This window comes from Homo sapiens, chromosome 2 (genome assembly GCF_000001405.40).
Source record: "Homo sapiens chromosome 2, GRCh38.p14 Primary Assembly".
Classification (NCBI taxonomy): Eukaryota; Metazoa; Chordata; class Mammalia; order Primates; family Hominidae; genus Homo; species Homo sapiens.
In genome coordinates, this window is record NC_000002.12 from 48,712,955 (window position 1) to 48,735,280 (window position 22,326).

The window sequence follows — 22,326 nt, forward strand, 5'->3', positions numbered from 1 at the left end:
CATATCTATAATTAAAAATAAATAGCATATTGTACAGAATTTTGCTACCCAACATTAGACTGTGCTACCCAACTTCAGACTGACAGCATCAGCATCTCCTGAAGCTTGTTAAAATTGCAAATTCTCAGGCCCTACCTAGATCCACTGAATCCAAGTTTCTGGGGGTAGGGCCCAGGAATCTGTGTTTTAACAATCTGCAGATTCTTCGTAGGTGTGTAAAAATTTGAGAAGCATTAGTATAGATCATGGTTTATACAACTTATTGATTTTAAAAGCCTTTTTTGTTTATTTTCCATAATTTTGGCTTTAATCGAACTTTTCATGTGCTCTTAGTTTTTATTATGCACAAATTGCAGGGTGACTGTGACCTCACCCTGTACTTGCTATGGTTCAAATGTCCCCAGCCCCACAAACTTTGTGAATATGCCACTCTTTTAGAAGAGGAGCCATAGAAGGAAAGAGAGGTTGAGAACAGTGAGGGAAACAGTAGCGATGCTCTTCTTGAGTTAAAGGCTGTTAACATCAAGAACTGGGTAGGGTGTGGTGAAAACACAAAGCTCCCTACCTTGTGGAAAATGAGCTTCCTCCCACACTAGCAGTACAGAGATGGGACTCTCTGAGTGGGTCTGTTGTGGCTGACAAGACTGGTAAATGGTGGTGTTATCTGATTTCTCTGCAGTGGGGCCAGGAGAAGAATTTCTTTCTGAAATTCTGCTTCCTCTAACACACCATCAACCTGAGTGAGGGGGCTAGAGAGGGAGGCATTGAGTTGCAGGAGGCATAAAGTAGGGTGTTGAATATTGCAGTAAACTGTCAACTTCAATGTATCCAGGCTGCATCTGTCTTTGAAATCAGGGTGCTCTGGGGTTTCTAGCCAGCCAGTTGCCTAGTAACATGCATGAAACACTGAGGGCTAGCCACTTGAAAGTTTATTTTTGCCCTGAGTTAGTTGCTGAAGATTGAATGTGATCTTGTAGCCAGAGTAATATTTCATTTTTATTCCTGAGCTGGGGAAATAAGCAAATACTTACAGTGAAGTCAGTGTCGTCCCATTGAATGCATGACTTTGTACTTCTTCAAATCCATTTCCATATAGTTTGCTGAAGGAGGGAGGAGAGGGTTTAGGAATGGGAAGAAACTGAAAGAAACAGTTTGGAAACACATTTTTCCTCCTGTAACATATATTACTAAGGTTATTACAGGCATTCATAATATCTAGTTCTCCATCATCACCACCACCATCAATTTATTAAGTGTCTATTAAGTGCTAGATACTTCATCAGCCACTCTATGTTTATTTTATGATTTAATCCTCATCATCATTTCCATTATACCGACAAGAAGCCTAACCCTCAGTGTGGTTATGTAGCTTGCTTAATGTCAAAGGAAAACAGTGGCATAGCTGGGATCCAAGGCCAGAGATGTTTAACACTTAAGCCTTTCCTCTGGTTTTGCAGGCCGGTGTGGGCATATGGGTTTTCTGGGTGTTGAAAGCTGAGGGCAGAGGAAGCCTCCAGCACTGAGCCCACTTTTTTTTTTTTTTTTCTTGGATGAGTATGTGGTTTTGCTGATGTCAGATTTGGCTCCACAACCAAGAAGATTTCAATGTCTGTAAACAGTCCTTTAAGACCATTAGTGCATAGTGAATCAATTTACTTGGGCATAACCAGCATTTAAAAAATCTACATAGAAAAAATAAAAAGTATTAGAGCATTTTGCAAGTGATTAGGGTATTAATGTTTATGAAACTTTATCCCACCATTTTTTATGGTATATACCTATAAATACACACACACACAAACACACACACATACATGTATACTTCTACCCAGAATAAGACATAAGAGGATCCTTAGAACACAGATATGGGGAAATGTTTGAGCCACAAAGGAGTCTAGAGGGAATCAAGCAGCACATTGTCATTTTGCAAAGAAGGAAATAGGCTCAGTGAGGGAAAGTGACTTGTCTAAAGCCTACAACTGGCATAAATGGGACTAGGATATGCTTTGTCTGGGGCTACATCCAGCACATCAATTTTGCTGATTCTTTTTACTTTTCCTCCACTGATATCCTCATGGGCTACCCATCCTCTTCCTGCAGGATTGTATTTCGTGTCGTGTTCTCAGTGGGGCCTTTACTGGCTGCCCTATTTAAAACACCAATTTCCTGTTTCCCCCTACTTTCCCTATACTCCTTCCCTGATTTGCTTTGCCTCCGTTGCTTTATCATCATCTGACCCATGATTACATTTTATGTTTTTATTGTTTACCTCCTCCGTGAGAACATATCCTCCTGTATCTAGAACAGTGCGTGGCACCTGGGAGTATTACAGTAAATATATATTAAATAAATTGGATGACCAAATGGGAATTTCTTACCATAAATCATAGCCAAACAAGTTTGAAAGCTACTGCCTTAGATGGAAATATTTGTATAAATTCTTTGTGAATGATGATGTAAAACCCACGTGAGAAAGGGCTGTGGTGTGATGTAAAGTTAAACTCCTTATATCTGCCAACACCCTAACTTCCCTTTGCAGGATTGCTGGAAGCTGGCCAGGGACAGGCTGTGGGGTGTGACTTGAGAAATGGTTCAGAAACATGCTTCACTTGTTCCTGCTCCAGGTAGCTGTTGTCTGCAAGGCCTCTCTAGTCTTTGTTAAACAAAATGAGCATGGAGCTTCACTTTGTGGGGTGTGAGTATGTGTGTAACATCAACAGCATGTATGTACTCTGTGTGTATGTATGTGTGGTCTCCTTCCACCAACCCACAACACAGCTGAGACAAACCAACATATAAATAAAGGTGTGACTCATGTTGAAGTATAATATTTAAGCTCTGAAATTCAGAAAATATAACTAGAGATTACAAAATAATTCTTAAGTCTCCTCGTTAGAGTCAGTTCAAAGAGGGCAGGGGAGAATATTTAATTCATTTCTTAAACTCCTGGGGCCTCACAGAATGCCTGGTGCCTAGCTCAGTCAATAGCCTGAGTAAAGCAGCAGCTTTGCCCTTCCCCGGGAAGGGGAGGCTTCCATGGTTTCCCAGGCTCTCATATGCTTTCTTCTGAGATTCTTCAGAGTTTACAGCTTCACATACTAGCTCTCCCATATTGGATTACTGGATGCCACTTTCAATAGTTTTCATCCCTTTCTATATTGCAGAATCTGAAGCATGTTTCTGAACCATTTCTCAAGTTACACCCCACAGCTTGTCCCTGGCCAGCTTCCAGCAACCCTGCAAAGAGAAGCTAGGGTCTTGGCAGATACAAGGAGCTTAACTTTACATCACACCACAGGCCTTTCTCAAATAACTTATATTTCCATCTAAGTCAGTAGCCTTCAAAATTGTTTGGTTATGATTTATGGTAAGAAATTCATCTTACATATTCTCATTTGGTCATCCCATTCATTTAATGTATATTTACTGTAATACTCCCAGGTGCCAGGCACTGTTCTAGATACAGGAGGATATGTTTCTCTGGAGGAGGCAAACAATAAAAACATAAAATATAATCATGGGTCAGATGATGATAAAGCAATGGAGGCAAAGCCAATCATCAGTTTCACATACTAGCTCTACCATGTTGGATTACTGGATGCCACTCTCAGTAGTTTTCTTCCCCTTCTATATTGTGGAATCTGAGAACATAGGTACAGGGTTGATGCCTGTTGTCTTGCATAATTATACACAACCTTGTTGTTTCCTTAGAAGCTCAATTTCACCAGAATTTTTTAAAATTTTGCACCTAGGATGTTAGTCTTTGGCAGTCTCCTGTCATTTTAGGGGTTGAATTCCTTTATAGCAGTCTCTTTTAGATAAAGGAATCACACTCTTTTTCTGAACTTCCTTAAGTTTGATTTCTTAGACTCTTGCCCGGTATTTGTCAAAACTTTCTCCTCCATCCACTGAATTAGAATCACCTGGAGTTGCTTGTCAAAAATGCAGACTCAGACCTATTAAATCAGAAACTAATAGTGGTATCCAAAAATATGCACTTTTATAACAAGCTCTCCTAGTGAGCCTTCAGTATGCCAGTTTGAGAACCTTTGCCCTAGGGTATGTCATAGGATGATACTGTTCTCATCATTCCCATGGGGCAAATCAGATGGTCATTGGCTTGGAATTGTGTCCAGAGTCTAGTCCCTGGATTGCTTTCTCTACCTTCTAAGTGATGATCGCACTACACATGGAGTAGATGAAGAAAAGATAGCCCTTGCTTTGTTTTCACCAAAGCTGCTAACAGTTGTCTAGATGCCCATTATTCATCACAGCTGCATGCTGCCCTGATCCTTGTTTGATACATGTTAGGATTTTATGCTTTTCTGTTAGACTCACAGTGTCACAGGTGTACCCTTGTGGTTAAGTCTGCAGGCACTGAACCCAATTGCTTGAATCCCAGCTCTGCTGCTTACAATCTGAATTACTTTGGGCAAGTTACTTACCATCTCTCTACATTAGTTTCCTAATCTGAAAGTATGATAATAGTATCAACCTCATAAAGCTATTGTAAGGACTGAAAATGTAAATATATGTTAAACATTTATAAGTAGGTTCTGGAATACAATAAATGCTTAATGTGTTGATCTTATTATTATTATTATTATATTTTTCAGTAGCCTCTAGCCTTCTGACAAGAACAGAGGTAAACGATCTCCCTTTCCATGCTCTGGACAGGATTTCTGTGAAATACAAGCATTTTGTTTAATTGCACTATCATCCTTCTCCAATGAAGTAGGGGGTCTTTCTCTTCCTGGGCAGAGCAAGTCAGGTCAGTGGCCTGGGCTGCACTAAATGTACTCACGTGCTGAAGGCTCTCAAACACCTTTGGTCTGTACTAGCGTCATGGACTTTTTTGCCTTTAGACATTTTCCATGTCTTTTTTTTTTTTTTTTTTTTTTTCTGAATAGCCTCAGTCCTGCTTGTCTCAACTTTCTAAACAACGTGGCCCACTGTTTCAGTTGCTCTTGTCTCTTTTCTTACCGGTCACACACAATAGAATGTGCTGCCTTGTTGTGATTAAAAGAGAAGCTTCCTTACTTTGGAGAAATTACAAATGTGAGTGGGAGACCTCATGCTGTCAGTCTTGCACAATGCTTTTAATGCCCTTAAAAAAACATCTGGAGAGTCACTTCAGATAACTTTTTTCCAAAACATCATGGTGTCAGAATTAAATGAGGAAGGCTTCCTTTGCTTTACTTTGAGGATTTTGTCACAGGCACAAAAATGAAGATTTTTCGCCTCCCCCAACTTCTCTATTACAATAGCTGTACCTAACTTTAAAGCATTGTCTAGGTTCTCTACTCAAATGTCAGTAATTGTGAATCACACAGAATGGCACCTTTTTGTTCAAAATAAGATTTGGGCTTTAGATATTAATCACAGATGATACTCTAATTCTGAATGCTGCTTTATAATGAACCCCAAATATTCCTGGGGCTCTAAAAGCACTTCTGGGATTCTAATATTAACAGTATTAGACATTCTTCTATAGTTTCCTTTTGGATCACCTGGTTTCTGGATGATTTTGAAGAAGAAAGCTTAATTTATGTTTACAGATACTCAGGGTCTCAAAAAAGTGGACCCATTGCTAAAAGGCAAAGCATACCGTTTTAGAAGATATCTTTTAGAAAATATGGTGGTATATTTGTAAGCAATTTTTTTTTTCAAATGACTATACAAACAGAATTCTAAAGAAAAGAAAAGGAAGTCCTAAATTCACCACTTTCTTCCCTATGTGGAACTTTGCTGAAGTCCTTTTATAGCTGAATAATTCCTTACGTATGAAGACACTTCTCTAGTGGATGTGCCGGCAGTGGTTAGATGGGTAACTGTGACCTGGTTACTACTATGTGCTGCTGTAACTCTAGTTATGAATCAGGGTCCCCCCATTTCTGGGGGTTCATAGTCTCTATAGCAATGGATCCCTCTCCCTGTATTGCTGTGCCTCCTGCCTCTCAGCAGCACTGAGTTTTCATGTTTCCTTCTACCTCAGCCATGTTCATGTCAACTTATATGTCTTTACTATATGTAATAATAAAAAGGGTGACAGGCATCAGAAAGAATGATAACAATAAAGGATTCTAGGCCGGGCATGGTGGCTCACGCCTGTAATCCCAGCACTTTGGGAGGCTGAGGCGGGCGGATCACGAGGTCAGGAGATCAAGACCATCCTGGCTAACACAGTGAAACTCCATCTCTATTAAAAATACAAAAAATTAGCCGGGCATGGTGGTGGGCGCCTGTGGTCCCAGCTACTTGGGAGGCTGAGGCAGGAGAATCGCTTGAACCCAGTGAGCTATGTCAAAGTGGGATGACCTGACTAAGGCTGCTTGGCTGGTTAGACACAGAGCCAGGACTGAAGCCCAGACTCCCTATTTCAACACAGTAGAGAGACCCAGCAGTCTCTCTACTGTGGCTTGTCATGGGTGCAGCCTGGAATCATCATGCCTTTCCAGACATCACTTCTCTGTAGGGTCTTAGAAAATTAATTGCTATGACCTTTCCATTTCTTTGTGGAGTTAAGATGTGAATCAAGATTGTCTCTTTTTTTGAGACTGGTGTGACCAATCACCTAGAATATTTTGAAGGTGGCACAGCTAAATTCTGCTTATTTGGGAAGGAGGGGCATTTCAAGGTGGCCTCTTGAGGAGATTTAATGAACAACCAAAGTGGCTATAAAGGGACATAAAAGCATAATGCATAGTTTTAGCATTAGCCCCACTGAGTTTCTCCAGCATCAAGTGAAGTGTTTTGTTTTCATTAAATGAGCTCACAGTTGGTAAAGATTTGGGTAGGGGGAGGGCAAGACAGGTTCTACAAAAAGCAAAATCTCAAATACCACTAATAATGAAAAGAGAAGGCTTGCTTTCATTATTTTCTAATTAGAGAGTTGAACTTTATAGCTGAGAAAATAAGGCTTTCCTCTTTAAGCGTAATGCCCTTTTTCCAGCAGGCTGCTCCACACGATCCTTTGCTTACAGAGGGGCCCATTCAGCAGAGAACAAGTGCCAGGCAAATAAATGACTAATCACTCCCCTTCCAGATGAAGGGCCAAGAATGAGAAGGGGGATGGAACTACAATGTCCCACAGGCTCTCTGGGAGAGACGGAGCCTCAATCTTTATTAACTTCAGAGTGGGGAAATTACACCCTACTGGCATGCACTCTTTTTCTTAAAATCATGAGCAACATAAGTTAATGTCCCTGTCATTAGAAAACCATGAAGCTCTCTGTGCACATACTGAAGTATGATGTGTGAGAAGGAATCTTTGGTTACTCTTTGAGTCTCGTGGGGTGGCCCAGTCTTGTGAGCTCATAGTTACCTATGGATTATCCCAACATTGGTTTTCTTCTTCACCCTCCTCCATGTCTTCTGCCTTTTCGTTCCTACTTCACTCCACTCCCATCATTGTACATTTACCTCGGAGGAATACCTATTGGTCTCTGATTATTTTTAGATTTAGATCAAAGTTGAAGGGAGTCATGGATATTTGTGATCTTTGAATAAAGCCTACTCTATTGAATAGATTATTTTATTACTTTTTCCAGAGTTACCTCCAAGCCTGTCTCCTTGTCCTGGCACTTAAGGGTCTCTGCAATTCAGTGTCCTCTCCATCTCAGCCAGTTATCTAAACTCACTTTCCATTCCTTAAACAGCATGTTTACTCCCAAGTAGTAGCCTCATCCTGTTCTCCTCCTGCCATGCTTTTGCTCCTGCCATCTCTTCACTTGGATTCCTTACTCTGCCTTTCTCTGTATGTTGTGGTACCGCATAACGGTTAAGAACATGACTCTGGAGCCATACTGTCTGGGACCAAATCTTGACCTGAGATAGAGATACTTAACCTCTTGATGCCTTGGTCTCCTCATCTAAAAGTAGGGTTGATAGTTCCTATCTCATAAGGTTGCTATGGGACTTAAAAAGTACTTAAAAACAGTGCAGGTATTTAATAAGGGCTACATACATATTAGCTGCTATTTTCACATTTACCCATATAAACGTTACTGATTCCATGAGGTCTAATTCAAATCTGTTAGCTCTACCATAAAGCCTCTCTGACTTCCCCAGCCCAAAAGGACTTCTCTAAGATCTTATTTCTAGGTACCACACACTCTCATAGTGAATATCTACTAGCTTGTATTATTATTTTATTATTTTATGTTTTCCCCCTCATTGAGACTATGAACTTCTCGAGGACATGAATCTAATCCTGTGTCTTTTGTGTTCTTGATATAGACATGTGGGGAGACCCCAAATCCTAAGGCATGTGATATCACCTCATTCGGAATTTGTTTGTTGAATACCTTGTTTTTGGTGGGGGACATGATGAATGAGTAGTTCCAGATCCATTATGCAATGGTGAGTTGAAAACACTTTATAAGCAGCCGGTAGAGCTGTGGTGTGTGAGGGAAGTGGCAGGAGTGGAGAGACTGTTGAGAAATATTTCTAGGATCAACAGAATCTCTTTCCTGGTGTTTGAGAGTTGCAAGTAAAGAGTATGGGTTATTTTTGAAATTATTTTTGGTTGCTGCTCTGTATTCTTTTGATTGCATTAATCTGAGATGAAGCTACATGGTCACAGCTTTGTAACATGACAATTATACATGTAAAATTACATCTACACAAAGTAAAAGTACTATACAAAGGCAGTGCACCAAGGATACCAATTTTTAGAATCCAGTGATATAAAAGAGAGTCCTCTGAGATGATCTCTTCTTTTGCTTCACATCTATCTCTTCATTTCAGAGTCATTCCAATCCATGTTTTCTCTTTTTTCTTTAAGGGTGAGCTCCTTTATTGCCTCATCACAATTTTGCCATGGGCTGTAACCAAAGCAGAAAGAGTGAGAGGGATATGGATTTTAGGAGCAGAATTAAATCAGGGTCACTGGGCTTTAGGTATAAAGAAATGAGGCCGGGGGGTGGTGACTCATGCCTGTTTTCCCAGCACTTTGGGAGGCCGAGGAGGGCAGGTCATGAGGTCAAGAGATGGAGACAATCCTGTCCAACATGGTGAAATCCTGTCTCTACTAAAAATACAAAAATTAGCTGGGTGTGGTGGCACACGCCTGTAGTCCCAGCTACTCAGGAGGCTGAGGCAGGAGAATCACTTGAACCCAGGAGGCAGAGGTTGCAGTGAGCCAAGATTGCGCCACTGCACTCCAGCCTGGTGACAGAGCGAGACTCAGTTGCAATAAAATAAAATATGCTGCCCAGGATGCTGCTTCTGAATGGTACGGCAGTGGAGGGCTCCCATGTGAAGATGTATGGCAGGGATTCCAGAGGGAAGGAAGTCTGGCAAGTGTCCTGTGAAGAACATGGGTTGAGTTATCTTAGTGGAGTGCTCCTCAAACTTTAATGTACATGTGAATCACTTGGGATCTTGTAAAAAGCATATTCTGAGTTAGTAGGTCTGCGGTGAGCTATTTCTAACTAGAGGATATGGTTTAGATCTGTGTTTCCACAAAATTGCATTACAAATTATAATCCCCAGTGTTGGAGGTGGGGCCTGGTGGGAGGTGACTGGATCATGGGGGTGGTTTCTCATGGATGGTTTAGCACCATCCCCCTAGTGCTGTTCTTGTGATAGAGTTCTCATGAGATCTGATTGTTTAAAAGTGCGTGACATCTCCCTGCTCTCTCTCTTCCTACTGCTCCTGGCCATGTGAGGTGCTGGCTCACCCTTCACCTTCCATCAGTATTGTAAGTTTCCTGAGACCTCCCCAGAAGCTGAGCAGATGCCAGAATCATGCTTCCTGCAAAGCCTGCAGAATTGTGAGCCAATTAAAACCTCTTTTCTTTATAAATTACCCAGTCTCAGGTAGTTCTTTATAGCAATGTGAGAATGGACTTATACACCAGCTCTCAGAAGATGCTGAAGATCATGGCTCATAGTTTGAATAGTGAGGCCTTAGGAAACACCATGAAAGGGATAGCCTGGTAACCTGACGAGTAACTGTCAAATAAAAACACATTATTTTTAAGCATTAAGGAATAGAGAGAATGAGTATAGATAGTGTTGCTTCAGAAGCAAAGTGAGAGGGACCCAAGAGGAAGGCGAAAATGAGAGAGACAGAGCAAGGTCCATTGATCAACTACTTTTCCTACTTGGAGAATATCCTTCCAAACTCTTCTCTGTTGAAATCTTGAAATTTCTATGCTCTTTTTAAGCCAGGAAAGCCACTCCTCTCTAGACTGTGTCTTCCCAGCCTTAGAGCATTCTCCATTAATGCAGTGAACAATTTCATAAGTTTGAGACTCAGTCACTAAAAATCCTCAGGGCCTGTTTGGTTAAACTGAATTGGTTGGTTGGTTGTCATGTGAACATATGACCCAGCTGTGATCTTACACAACTCCCTTCACCCTTAGCATTTTAGGTTAAGAAGAATGTCACCAGTGAGTGAGGAATGTGGTAAAACATGAGAAAAAGCTCACCCCAACCTAGTAGTGAGACTAGCAGGAGGCTGTATGGCAGAACACAAATCTGGGAGTTTACTCACAGTGTTACAGATTCATTATTCATCCCTTGAAAAGCATTTCCTGGTATGGTGGTTATGTGTAAGTTATCACAAATTTCCCTTGAGGAAAGAAATGAGAAATATTTACTTTCTAAATTTTAGCTGCAAATAGGAAACTGTTATGCATAGCAATCAGCCTGGTACTTACAGAATGAAATTTGATTCAGAGGAGAAGACCTTCGTAACATCTGGAAACTTTCTGATGCCTGTGTTACAGATGCTCCTGTGATTAGGGACAGGATAGTGGTGTGGGCAGAGAGTGGGTAAAAGTGATTGTCATTAAGACATAAAGATAAAAAGAGAGTACAAAGGCATTTTGCAAATACAACTTTCACATTAAATTTAAAAATATTGAGTTTGGTGTTATCAGGACTACTTTTAGCTGAGAAAGATTGTTGCAATTTAGAAGTCCCTCATGCTGTGGGAGAAGATGCTTTAATGACTGCTATTTAGAGACCTGGGGACTGGGGCCAAATTTAAAGGTCTTTTTCATTTATATTTGTAGCCTGTCTTTTCTTATTAAATCAATCACATTTTCCCGTATTGCATTCCACTTTCTTTTGGTAATTAGTTTATTACAAGCTCTTGATAGTTCGAGAAAGCATCCTTAAATTTTGGAGCAGGTTTTGATTCAAATACTTCAAGAAAATTAATCTTTTATGATAAATCCATATTGCTCATTATTAAAAATCTTCCCTTATTTAGCTATCTTGCAATTCAGGAAGTTCTTCTTTGCATCTCATTGAAATCACTAAACATTGTTTTGGTGTTTGGGACTATTCAAGGCTCTTCTTTTCTTCCCACCTTTTATTTAGCCTCTGAAGAGGAGAGAGGCTTAAGTGATAGGTGAAATTGAAGAGTATTTTATTACAAGAATGGGGCTCCCTCAGAGTCTAGGCATCTGGATTTCCCCACTGGAGTTTTAGATTCACCAGTCATGGGATCTGGACAACTAATATGAACTGTCTGTCACCCTCGTGACAATGAAACAAAGCCAGGTTTCTCTTCTGGCTCTCTCTGGTTCTCCTTCTTATCCAAAAGCCCAGGTCACACTGGATCTCTGCTCTGTCTACAGCTGGGGATAGCAGTGTGGGATTAGACTGCAACGTGTACTTGGGTTGGGTGAATATCACAGTTTTGGATGAAAATACTATTTAATAAAGACAATGATTCTTAGATAATAAGAGGCTGCAGTGGTCAAATTTGGTTCTGGGAGTTTCTTATGTTTTTTCAAAGTAGTTGATGCTACCGTATGCTTATGTGCCCTATAGACACCCTGGAGGTTTGGAAAAACAGAACACCTGAGTTTGGAATTGTTCAGTGTTAGAGTTAACAAAGGAGCTATGCCAGTTCCAGTAGCAGCTCTTATAGAAGGCCCCAGAGCAAGACTGATGACGTGAAGTACCAGAGAGATGTCCCTTCTCTCTGTTTTCCTTTTTTTGGGCAGTGATGGGAGGTGGGCTTTACATTCTCTGAGGAGTTTATGAAATTTAAAGAAAAAAGAGGGATGTCTGTTTTAGGGAGACGCAAATTTTTCTTTGTGAATAGGGATGACTTGATATGTGAAAAGATCCATAGTGATAAATTCATAGTTTTCAGGAATTTTGGTATTGCTGACAAGGCAATGATTGTGGCAGGCTACAGTGGTACTCAATTTCTAATGCTAACTGACAGACTTAGTTAGAATTAATGGGAAGTGGAAAATAATGATTTAGTTTATATGGCACAGTGTCTACCTTAAGGCAATACTTAAAAAGTTTTCATTTAATGAACAAATGAAAAAAATGAGATAAAGGAGATCAGAAACTCTTAACCCGTGATGAGAGTCAGACCAGAATTGCCACTCTCACTTTCACCTACTCTCTATTCACTTCAGAGATTCTGATTTACCCTTTTTAAAGTGTTATGACCTCCATCTCCCATACCCATTGTCAACCTTGAAAATCACTACAGAGGGGTGACGTTCTTCCCAGGTGTTTAGGACTGATAAAATGTTGGGAACCACTTACATGTATGTAAAAGCACCCAGCTCGGTGGCTGACAAGAAATGACAATTAAATTTAAATCAGAAGGCTGAAGAGGAACATGCAAATAGTGCCATGTATATGGTTAAACAAAATCTTTCCAACCTTTTCCTTGTTTTGATTTTCATCAGATGCCCATCTTCCCCTCCCCAATTGCTTAAAAAGGAAAATTTCTCACAAGTATTTTAATCGGGGAAGATTTATAAATGCTCCGGGCTCAATGTATCTCAGATTTTTGGTGTTCTGGATCAGTCTGTAAAGAGAGAGGGAAAAAAAAAGCTGCTGTTTAATAGATGTGTATTGTTTGAAATGTGTGAGATCATGGTCACCAGAAGTTGCTGGCTGAAAATGGCATCAGCAAAAGCAGGCGACCTTCATATGCTTGGGAGGACCCCTAGCGACTCTGGGGATGGAAATGGCTTGGTGAGAGCCAGTTCCCTATTTCCAGGAAGCACTGCTCTCAAGCTTCTAAAGAGGTGGGTATAAGGATCAGAGCAGGGAGTCTGTCTCTGCACCCTCCCACCCCTCTCCCCCACCACAGACAGCACCGACATCCAGGGCTCCTGGCCAAGCAGATTCTGCCCCACTGTGGACCCTGTACACTGAGGGTGATGAGAGACTCCTCTCAGGAGAGATGAGCAAATTACCTACTCTCCCTTGTAAGCAAACTCGTCCTCTTCATATTGGCCGGCAATCACATGAGCAGTTATACCGAGGGGCACCAGTCTGTGGAATGGCACAGGGCAAAAGCCAGAGGCTTGAATTTGGGGGATTTTATACTCATGCTGAAGATAATTTGCTGTGTCATGATGTCCAGCCTCCTAACTTCCCTGAGCTAGTGTCTCTTCTGTAAAATTTGTATAATAATATTACATAGTCTTCCTGCCTCACAGGTTAGTAGGTTTTAAGTAATAGAACAGGTAGAGATAATATGAGGCAGGGTTTGGCAAAGTATAAAAGTACAGCCATACACCACTGTGATGTTATTGCCCTCCCCGCCCAACTCCCTCATTCCCCTAATTACTGTGACTCTACAAAAAGTAGTCACCATTGCTAAGTCCTGTCTACTTTGTATTAAATAAAAGGCCAGTAAATGCCTTTGGGTTTCTTAATCCAGGTGACAGCCACCTGAGGAAATAATAATTACCTTGTTCTATAGAGAGAATGTAGTATATTGGTTAGGAGCATGGGCTCTGGAGTCAACTTGGTTTTTCATTCTGATTTTACTAATCGTATGACCTTAGATATATCACTTTAAGTTCTCTGTGTCTTGGTTTCCTTATAGTGTTGTTTTTGAGGAATAAATATATGTGTCTGGTTCACAGTAAGGCCTCAACCAGTGTTAACAATAGTTATAATAGTTGCTGAAATTAGGAAGTTGAATGATTTGTCTTCGGTCACACAGCTGAGAAGTAGCAGAACTTGGATGTGACCCAGTTTTTCTGACCCTCAGTTTAGTGCTTGTTCCACCACACTACAGTTACCCACCACTTGTGCCTGTTTCCATCTTCTCAGCCCTTTTGATTCTTCAGATGTGAGTGATATTTTGTTGTAATTATTTCTACAACAACTGAGTCAAACAATCATAGGCCATATAGAGCCTTATGTGGGTGGGATGGAAGGGACTTTTATCTCTAAAGGTCTTTTGGGCTGGGTGTGGTGGCGTGCATCTGTAGTCCCATCTACTTGGCAAGGAGGTGGGAGGATCACTTGAGCCCAGGAATTTGAGGTCGGTCTGGGCAACACAGTGAGACCCTGTATAAAAAAAAAAAGATTAAAAGAAATTTAATAAAAGAATTTTGGGGCCTGACCTTAGCCCAGTCATTCATTCATTTAACAAACATTTATTGGGCACCTACATGTGGCAAGCATCGTTCTATGTGCTGGGAATACAGCTGTGAACAAAGCAAAAAAAGCCTTCATGGAGCTAGCATGCTAGTCTTAGGACCTTCTTTGGGAATCCATAAACTTTCCCTGAGAGTGCTTTATGTTTCTTTCTGTTGATGAATGTTGCTTTGCATCACGGGAAGCTTTATTTATCATTAGCTGCCCTGGTGGTTCTCAATATAAGCTGTGTTTTAGCATTACCTGGGAAGTCTGTTAAAACTGCAGCTTTCCAGGTCTGGGATAGGACTGTCGTCTGTAATTGTAATGAGCCCAATGTGTGATTCTGCTTCTCAGCTAAGTCCAGACTATGTCTTTTGCACTTACTCATTATTTTGGATTTCTCTGTAATTGGTGAGTAGTCTCACTTCCCTGGCTACACTGTCATCTCATGGTGGACATTTATATTTTATCTCTTCTGTATTCCAACAGCATTTGGCCCTGTATTGGACACATGGTAGTTGCTCACGTACTTACCAATTAATTATTCTCTTCAGGTAATTATTCATTGGGTCATTTATAGGGGGACCCTGTGGTATAGTGGAAAATCTGGAGCTTTGAAGAAAGACAGTCTGGGATTGAACCCCAGTCCTGCCATGGTCTAAAGCAAGCTTGTCCAACCCACAGTCTGCATGCCACATGTGGCCCAGGATGGCTTTGAATGCGACCCAATAGAAGTTTGTAAACTTTCTTAAAACATTATGAGTTTTTTTTTTTTTTTAAACTCATCAGCTATTGTTAGTGTAAGTGTATTTTATGTGTGACCCAAGACAATTCTTTTTCCAGTGTGGCCTAGGGAAGCCAAAAGATTGGATACCCCTGGTCTGAAGTGTCACATCGGTCAAGTTTCTGTGCCTTTCCAAGCCTCCATTCCTTCCCCTGGACGAAAGGGATAATTACCCCCACTCTGCATGGTAGCTGTGAGGATTAAATGACACAACATAGAAGAAATGCCAAGCACAGAGCTCAAAAAATGTTTGATGCTAATACTTTTCCCCTTCCCTAACTTTTGAAACTCCAAAGTAGGTAAAGTTTGAGTGCTCTTCTGGAAACTCAGGTTTGCGCCTGAGTAAAAGCAGCAGTAGGGGGCCTGGTGTAGAAGTCACATGCATTGATTTCTAATTTCAGCTCTGGCACTAACTTGCGGTGTGATGTCAGGCAAATAGGTTAACCTCTTCAGGCCACAGATTCATCACTTGAAAACTGAATTGAACCAGTCTTTTCCTATCCTTTTTGTGATTTTTTGGGGAAATGATACTTTGGCAAGGGTTGTTTCTAAGAGTTAATTCCAAAACATCACAATAACAACAACAAAACCCAACAAACCCAACACACACATGCCTATCACACAGCTTTTACACTGTAGGTATTCAAGAAACATTCACTGAATGAGTGAATGTGCCAAAACAGCCCCCAATGAACCAATTTATGATCTCTAAGCTCTTTTCCAAATTTTCCCACTATCCCAAGTACTCCATACCCTCCATAGGCAAGAGCTACTTGGCAGGAGTTCATAATGTCAATTTTAATTTCTATCTTTGTGTTGTGATGTTTCAGAGTTTATACAGCTCCCAGGGAGAAGCAGTTGTCACCATAGCAACCTACAGGCCACTGCAGTGAGAAAAATTAGTGCCTGCCCAGACCTAGTAATTGCTGTAGTCTTTTCCTTTTGGATTCCTAGCAGTGGATGCTTGAATACAAATACCAAGTGGGCTCCAGCCAGTGAGGGTAATAGTGTACAGCAGTAAACTGTCTGTTAGCTGATGCTTACATTTCAGACAAATTGAGGAGGTTGTCAAAGGCATTAGCTTCTATCCTTTCCAGGGAATCAATCTGAGAGATTTCACTAGGGAAGAGAGGAGGGGGAAAAAGAGAAAGAAACATGAAAGAAATGACCGTGTCTGCATGATTATGAGCTATGTGTGTGACCCAACAACTGGGGACACCACTGTGTCCCCCTGAAAAGAACAAAGATGTGCAAGTTGTCCCCAAATCATACAGTGCTAACATCTCCCTTTAGGAGCACTGATGGGCACCTACAACCCAAGTGCAGTTGAAATGCAAGTTTTAGTAGCCCCTGTTTATGTGACAAGTTTTTCTCTTATTTATCTCTGACTCAGAGCCACAGATTGTTAGAATTGCATAGGCCCTTTGAGAAAATCTAGTCAGATTCCCTTGTTTTACAGCTCTGGAAATTAAGGCCCTGAGAGGAGAGGCAAATAGTATTTGTATTAAGGTTCAAGACTAGGATATGGATCTCTGGGTCCCAATTCTGTCACTCTAGTGAGGCTTTAATATGGATTGAATTGTTTCATAACTCTTAACCCTTAGTTTCCCAAAATCTCGTGCTGAGGCCGTTGCAAGGTGGTCAACTCCTGCACATGGTATCCATCCTGAATTACAATTACCTACTTCCTTGACTGTTTTTCTCACTTGTGAGCAAACTGAGGACAAAGAGTATATTCTATTCACTTCTGAATCCTTGGTGGCTTCATGTTGCTTGGCACAGCGTTAAGAGTACAAAATGAATGAATAAGTGAATGCAGTAGTGAATAATTGAATTTTTTGAAAACAATACAAAAATAAAGAAACCAGTTTTGTCATATATGATTCGCAAGCATGTAAGTCATGCCAATGTTACCCTAAAATCCCAACATACGCTACCATTTCCTGCCAGTTGAAAAAAAAGTCTCAAATTCACAAACTGTACATTTGCTTATTTCTAAGGTTAAGGCTCACTGAAGGCTTCAGACTGATGAGAGCATTAGCCCACAGAAAGGCAGAGCCTAAGGTAGCTAATGTCTTTTCTTAACAACACAGGAATGGATTATTCTTGGCTGATTCATCTTATTCCTACCTATTGGTTTGCTTATTTAACTGTAGCTCCTTTTCTCAGTAGGAGGTCTTAATGCATTAAAGGTTATCAAAACTCAACATTCCAACTTGAGAGCAGAAGAGTGTGGGTTAAGCTCAAGTAAACCGACAAGTCCGTAACCTGCAGGGAATTTCCTATAATATGCAGTAATTCTTGAGGAATTATTTTAAATATTCTAATTGCTTACTAATACCCTAAAGGGCAATAGAGGTTCCCAAAGGAGCTAAGATCAATGCTGTAGCATCTTCTTTAGAGATGCAAATCTGCTTCCAAAGTCCAGTGGATTGTTAAGATTGGAGATGCACTGTGAGAACTCAATGGCCATGAGGTCCTTTGACTCAGGCTAATATTAAGAAAGATGCTGGAATACTGGGCCCTTGAGAACATTCTCTCTCCAAGTATGGGAACTTTGGTCCTAGAAGCTGAAACCCAGAAACAAATGATCGAAGTTATGTCTGACAAACATGAGATCATACTGCATTATCCAGGTGCTTTACACTTTTGATAAATGCCTTTCATCAATATAGTTATAAATACTGTGTTTTTGTCATATACTTATATTTTAGATATAAAGATTATCTTCTGATGCACAATAAATTTCCAACACATTTTTTTTCCTATGTGGGTGTTATCTAAAAATGTGACACAAGGGAATAGCTGCTCTAGCAGAAGGAGAATTTTTATGATTGGAATCTATCTTTTTTTCTCCTTAAAAGGTATATCATCACTTATAAAATGCATTCAGTCATTTGAAGCAAGGTTAATTATCTGTATTTTAATGACTCTTAAAAATCATACCTTTTCTTCAAAGGTCTCTAGTTATTATTTGTATTACAAAGATAAAAATATGTGAGTATCCTAAACACAATTTCTTTCCTAGAAAAATTATCCCCTTTCAAATGTGTTTTCTCTTAGAAAAAATTCATTATTCCAATTACGAATGTCTTTTGATATGCAGTAACTTACTTACATTTTTATGACCTCATTAAGTCCTCTGAAAGCTTGAGATGGGATCACTTTGACAGGGAGGTAGGCAAGTGATCTAGAAAAGAAAAAAGGAAATCCAAGAGTTTAAGATTTATGATAGGGTGCCTTTTAAGTTCATGAATAAAATGGGTATGTGTATGTGTGTGAGAGACAGAGACTTCAGAGTTCCCAAGAACTGGATTCAGGCTGAGGATTCTAACTTAAATCAATGAAGAGATGTGCCATGACTTATTCTTGGTCTTTATCAAAGAGTGTATAATTTTGCGGTTAAGACTGTGAACGTTGAGATTAGGCATACCTGGACGCAAATCTTCGCTGTCCCACTACTTGGCTATGTGATTCTAAGCATGTTATTTAAGCCCTCCAGCTCAGTTTCTTTGTCTGTAAAATTGCAATAATAATTCCTACTTCACAGGGTCATTGTGATAATTAATCAGGATAATCCATGTAAAGAACAGGGCTTGGCACCAAGTATATAGTTAAATAGTTGTAGAGTGATCCTATAGACTTGATTGGGAAGATGGACAAAAACTATGTTGAGTAGAGTGGAGACATTAATGATGAAAATACAACTGGAAATCATGCAGGCAGGAAAACAGAAGATTCATTAAGAACATGCTCCCATCTTGATCTCTACTGTCTTTCCCAGGTAGCCTATTTCAATATTATTCCAAAGAGACAACTTTGATCCTATGGTTAACTCACATGGGCATCTCATGTCATTTGCGGGGAATGTCTATGAGATCATTTCCTTCAGGCATTCACTTATACCCACAGGAAAAATCTAAATATTCTTGAAATTGAAATAAAATCTATGCTGTACTTAAGATTTGAGAAAAGAGTGACACTCAGAAATGCAAAACCAGTATAGGATGATGTGTGAATGCTAAAGGAACTGGAGGTTAAGATAACTCAGGAGAAAGCAACTGCAAGGCAGGGACGAACATGCAGCCAACATTTATTGAGTATCTACAATGGTTTAATGTTTTGGCCCAAGGACTGGCAGAGAGGAAGGGAGTGGGCAAGGATATTTCAGGTGGGAAGTGAGTATGTGAGTATCAGGAATATGAGAACAAAGGTGAAAGATGCTGTCTTGTTTTTAACATGTCTATGCAGCAGAGACTGCTTTAAGCTTCTAGGAAAGAACACCTCCATGATGGGCAGATGAAAGTAAGATTTCTTACAGTCCCAGAAGGGACTTGCTACAGTTGTAAGCTACTATGTGAGTTATACACACCCATTTGTGACCTTCTTTTACTCACTCAACAATGGTGTGAGGTGGGAATTTCTCTTACATAGCAGAAGAAATTGGGTCACAAAGAGACTAAGTAACCTGAACAAGGTTACAACGAGGCAGAATGACTCCAGACATCCTTTCCCTGTGCAATACTGGCCAAAGCATGTCACTCTTAATCCCATGTCTTGGTGAGCAAGGTGGAGGGACAGACATTGCAACCTTGCTTCTCCTGAGAGGAAGCATGTCACATTCGCTCTATTTCTTCTGCAAAGCGGTTTACCAGCCGTTCCTCCCTAGGTGCTAATAGGGAGGAAATTTCATTTCAGAAAAATATTTTCACTCAATAATCTCTTAGAAATGATATAACCTAGAGAAAGTAATCCAACTTTGGTCTCTGATTCTATTCCCGAAGGCATTCCCAAGAAGGACATCGTTTAACACCTAAACTCATTTAACAAAGGATCCGAGAAGAACAGGGACAGTGTGGGAAGAAATCTTCTTGTGATGGCATATTTGCTTCCTATATTTCTTCTGGAATCATGTTCGCTTGGCTTCCTGATTAAAAACACAGTTTTATTGCTCTCTGCACTGCCAAACCAATAAATTTACAGAAGAGAAAGCTGTATTCCACTGTACCCCTTGCAGCATCAATAAAACTGACAGCCAAATTCTGATTCCAGAATCTTTATTGCTGGGGATAATGCAGTGCAGAACATATTTTGGAGAGTGTTTACATAAAAGCTTCAGCAGAACACTTCAGAGCTGTTTATTCATGCAAATGGAGCCCAGAAGCTGAAGTCTCTCAGCAGGCAGCCTCCTCCTCCAAATGGGAGCATGGTGTGACTCCCAGAGGAGCAGTTTGGTTCAGATTTGATCAGGGAGGTTGCCTGAGCTTTTGATTGATGTAGGGAGGAGGGATGAGGAGCAAAGGTCGGACAGAAGTGCAAGAAGCTGTAGATCATGCAATGGCAGTCTCCAGTGGCTACAGAAGCAGCCCTGGTGCAAGCTGAAATTTTGCAGCGTTGATGTTGATGCTGCAGAGCAGGAAAGGCAGCAGTGGGGAGAGTGAAACTAGAGCCTCCCCTATAAAAGAGACACCAAGTGAACAGCAGGTGACTTTGTGGATATGGCTGGGTCAAGAAAGAGTCCTGGGGGCCAGGGAATGGGGAGAGAGGTGGGGTTAGGCAGGTGCACTGTGCTTTTCACAACAGATGTGTTCCCATGAGGCAACACAGAGAATGTGGTCCTGTGAATCGAAAACCATTTTCCCTACAGACTTATATGTTTTTTTTTTCAGAAATGTCACATCTTCATTTCTGATTCGTCTTTGATGGGTAGCAGTTCCTAAGCATTCAAGTATCTGTCTCCAGAATTTATTAATAAAGTTTATGATTTGTTGATAACTGTTTGAATGTACTCCCTTTGAAGGTGTCCCACTCTCTATTGGATGCATCTATGATTCTTTCCATGATGCCAGAAACTTTTAGCAATGTGAACAATGATCTTAATAACCCTGCAATTCCACTCCTGTATACATTGAGAAAAATTCTCAAATTGATACTTAAAGGAATCTTGTACAAACGTTTTCTTCACAGCATTGTGGCATCAGGGGCTTGGAGGCAACCTGGGTGTCCATTACTAGGTGAGGGAGTATGTAAAATTTGGACCGTACACACCTAACTGAATAGGAGAGCCTGTAGAAGTGAGAGTCTAAAGGCACACAGAGTAGCATGGGTGGATCTTCAAATCATGGAACTGAGAGAAACAAGAAATTACGGAGATATAATATACTGTTTGCAGAATTAAAATATATGTAAACGAAACACTAGACATTAACCTCCTCCTGCACATGAACATACACTAGGATTGTTATCTAAGGTGAGTTGAGAGGAACAGAAGTGGGAGAAGGAGATAAAATAAATAACTAAAAACAGAGAGGGACTTTGAATGGACTAGTGATAATGTTACTTGAATGAAGAAATATGACCAACTTAACCCTCTGTACTAGAGAGACAAATGGAAAATAAAAAAGGTTTATTTTGATGTATTGGCAGCCTGCTTGCTTACCTTTCTTCCTCCTCCTTCCTCCTCTCTCCCTTCTTCCCTCCTTCCTTTCCTTTCCTTCATATTTTTTTGGAGTTAGGCATACTTGTATTCCAATAGTTTTGTGAACTATTGTGGAAAGGTCTAGTCGGTATCATTTGATATAGAGCAGAAGCCAAGGAGAACTGAGGGCAAAAATGCCTAAGGCAAGGACAGTTCAGCAGCTCTGCTGTCCAGGGTCAAAAAAGGAATGAAAGCTATGCATAAAGCAAAGAAAATAAAGGAAGGACAGAGCCCTTTCTGTCTCAGCAAAAGAGGGTGATACACCACAACTATGCACCTCAGATGGGTGGTAAAGAATTAGGGTTACTGGGAAAATATGAGGTTGAACTTGCAGGGTGGAGATTCTCTCTTGAAAGGTGAGACGGCTGTGGAAAAATATGGCTGTAGAACTATGCAGCTACTTAAATTTATTATATTTTCACAGTCTTTTTTGCAGTTTTGAACTTTTGTTTTTAAATAAATTGATGAGGCAACGCAGGTGGCACCTTGCCCAAGTGCCTTTGCCACAGATGTTGAAACAAATGCTTCAATTGGATTACAAAGTCTGCGTTAGCTTCATCAGCTTGGAACTTCCATCTACTCATTAATCTCATCTGCAGGTCCCCAACCCTTCTAGTTGTGTGTTAAAGTTGAAATCGAAACAGTCTGTCCTCCTTAGGGCTGGAATTAAGTCATTCATCCTAGTACTGGGATC

At 40.5% G+C, this 22,326-nt stretch overlaps 2 protein-coding genes across 6 annotated transcripts in view; one reads left to right on the forward strand and one right to left on the reverse strand.

Moving 5' to 3' along the window:
• STON1-GTF2A1L (STON1-GTF2A1L readthrough) overlaps positions 1-22,326 on the forward strand; it is a 246,595-nt gene that overhangs the window by 183,030 nt on the left and 41,239 nt on the right. The window lies entirely within an intron of this gene.
• The window catches only part of LHCGR (luteinizing hormone/choriogonadotropin receptor), a 68,951-nt gene that overhangs the window by 26,181 nt on the left and 20,444 nt on the right, over positions 1-22,326 (reverse strand). For 2 of the 5 annotated variants that reach the window (XM_047444292.1, NM_000233.4), the window contains exons 2-7: positions 18,273-18,344; positions 16,199-16,273; positions 12,722-12,796; positions 10,668-10,742; positions 10,502-10,579; positions 1,032-1,100 (exon numbers count right to left, since the gene is read on the reverse strand). In XM_047444292.1, coding sequence (XP_047300248.1) covers positions 1,032-1,100; positions 10,502-10,579; positions 10,668-10,742; positions 12,722-12,796; positions 16,199-16,273; positions 18,273-18,344 — 444 coding nt within the window. The other 3 variants (XM_047444293.1, XM_047444291.1, XM_017004090.1) reach the window with 2 other exon arrangements.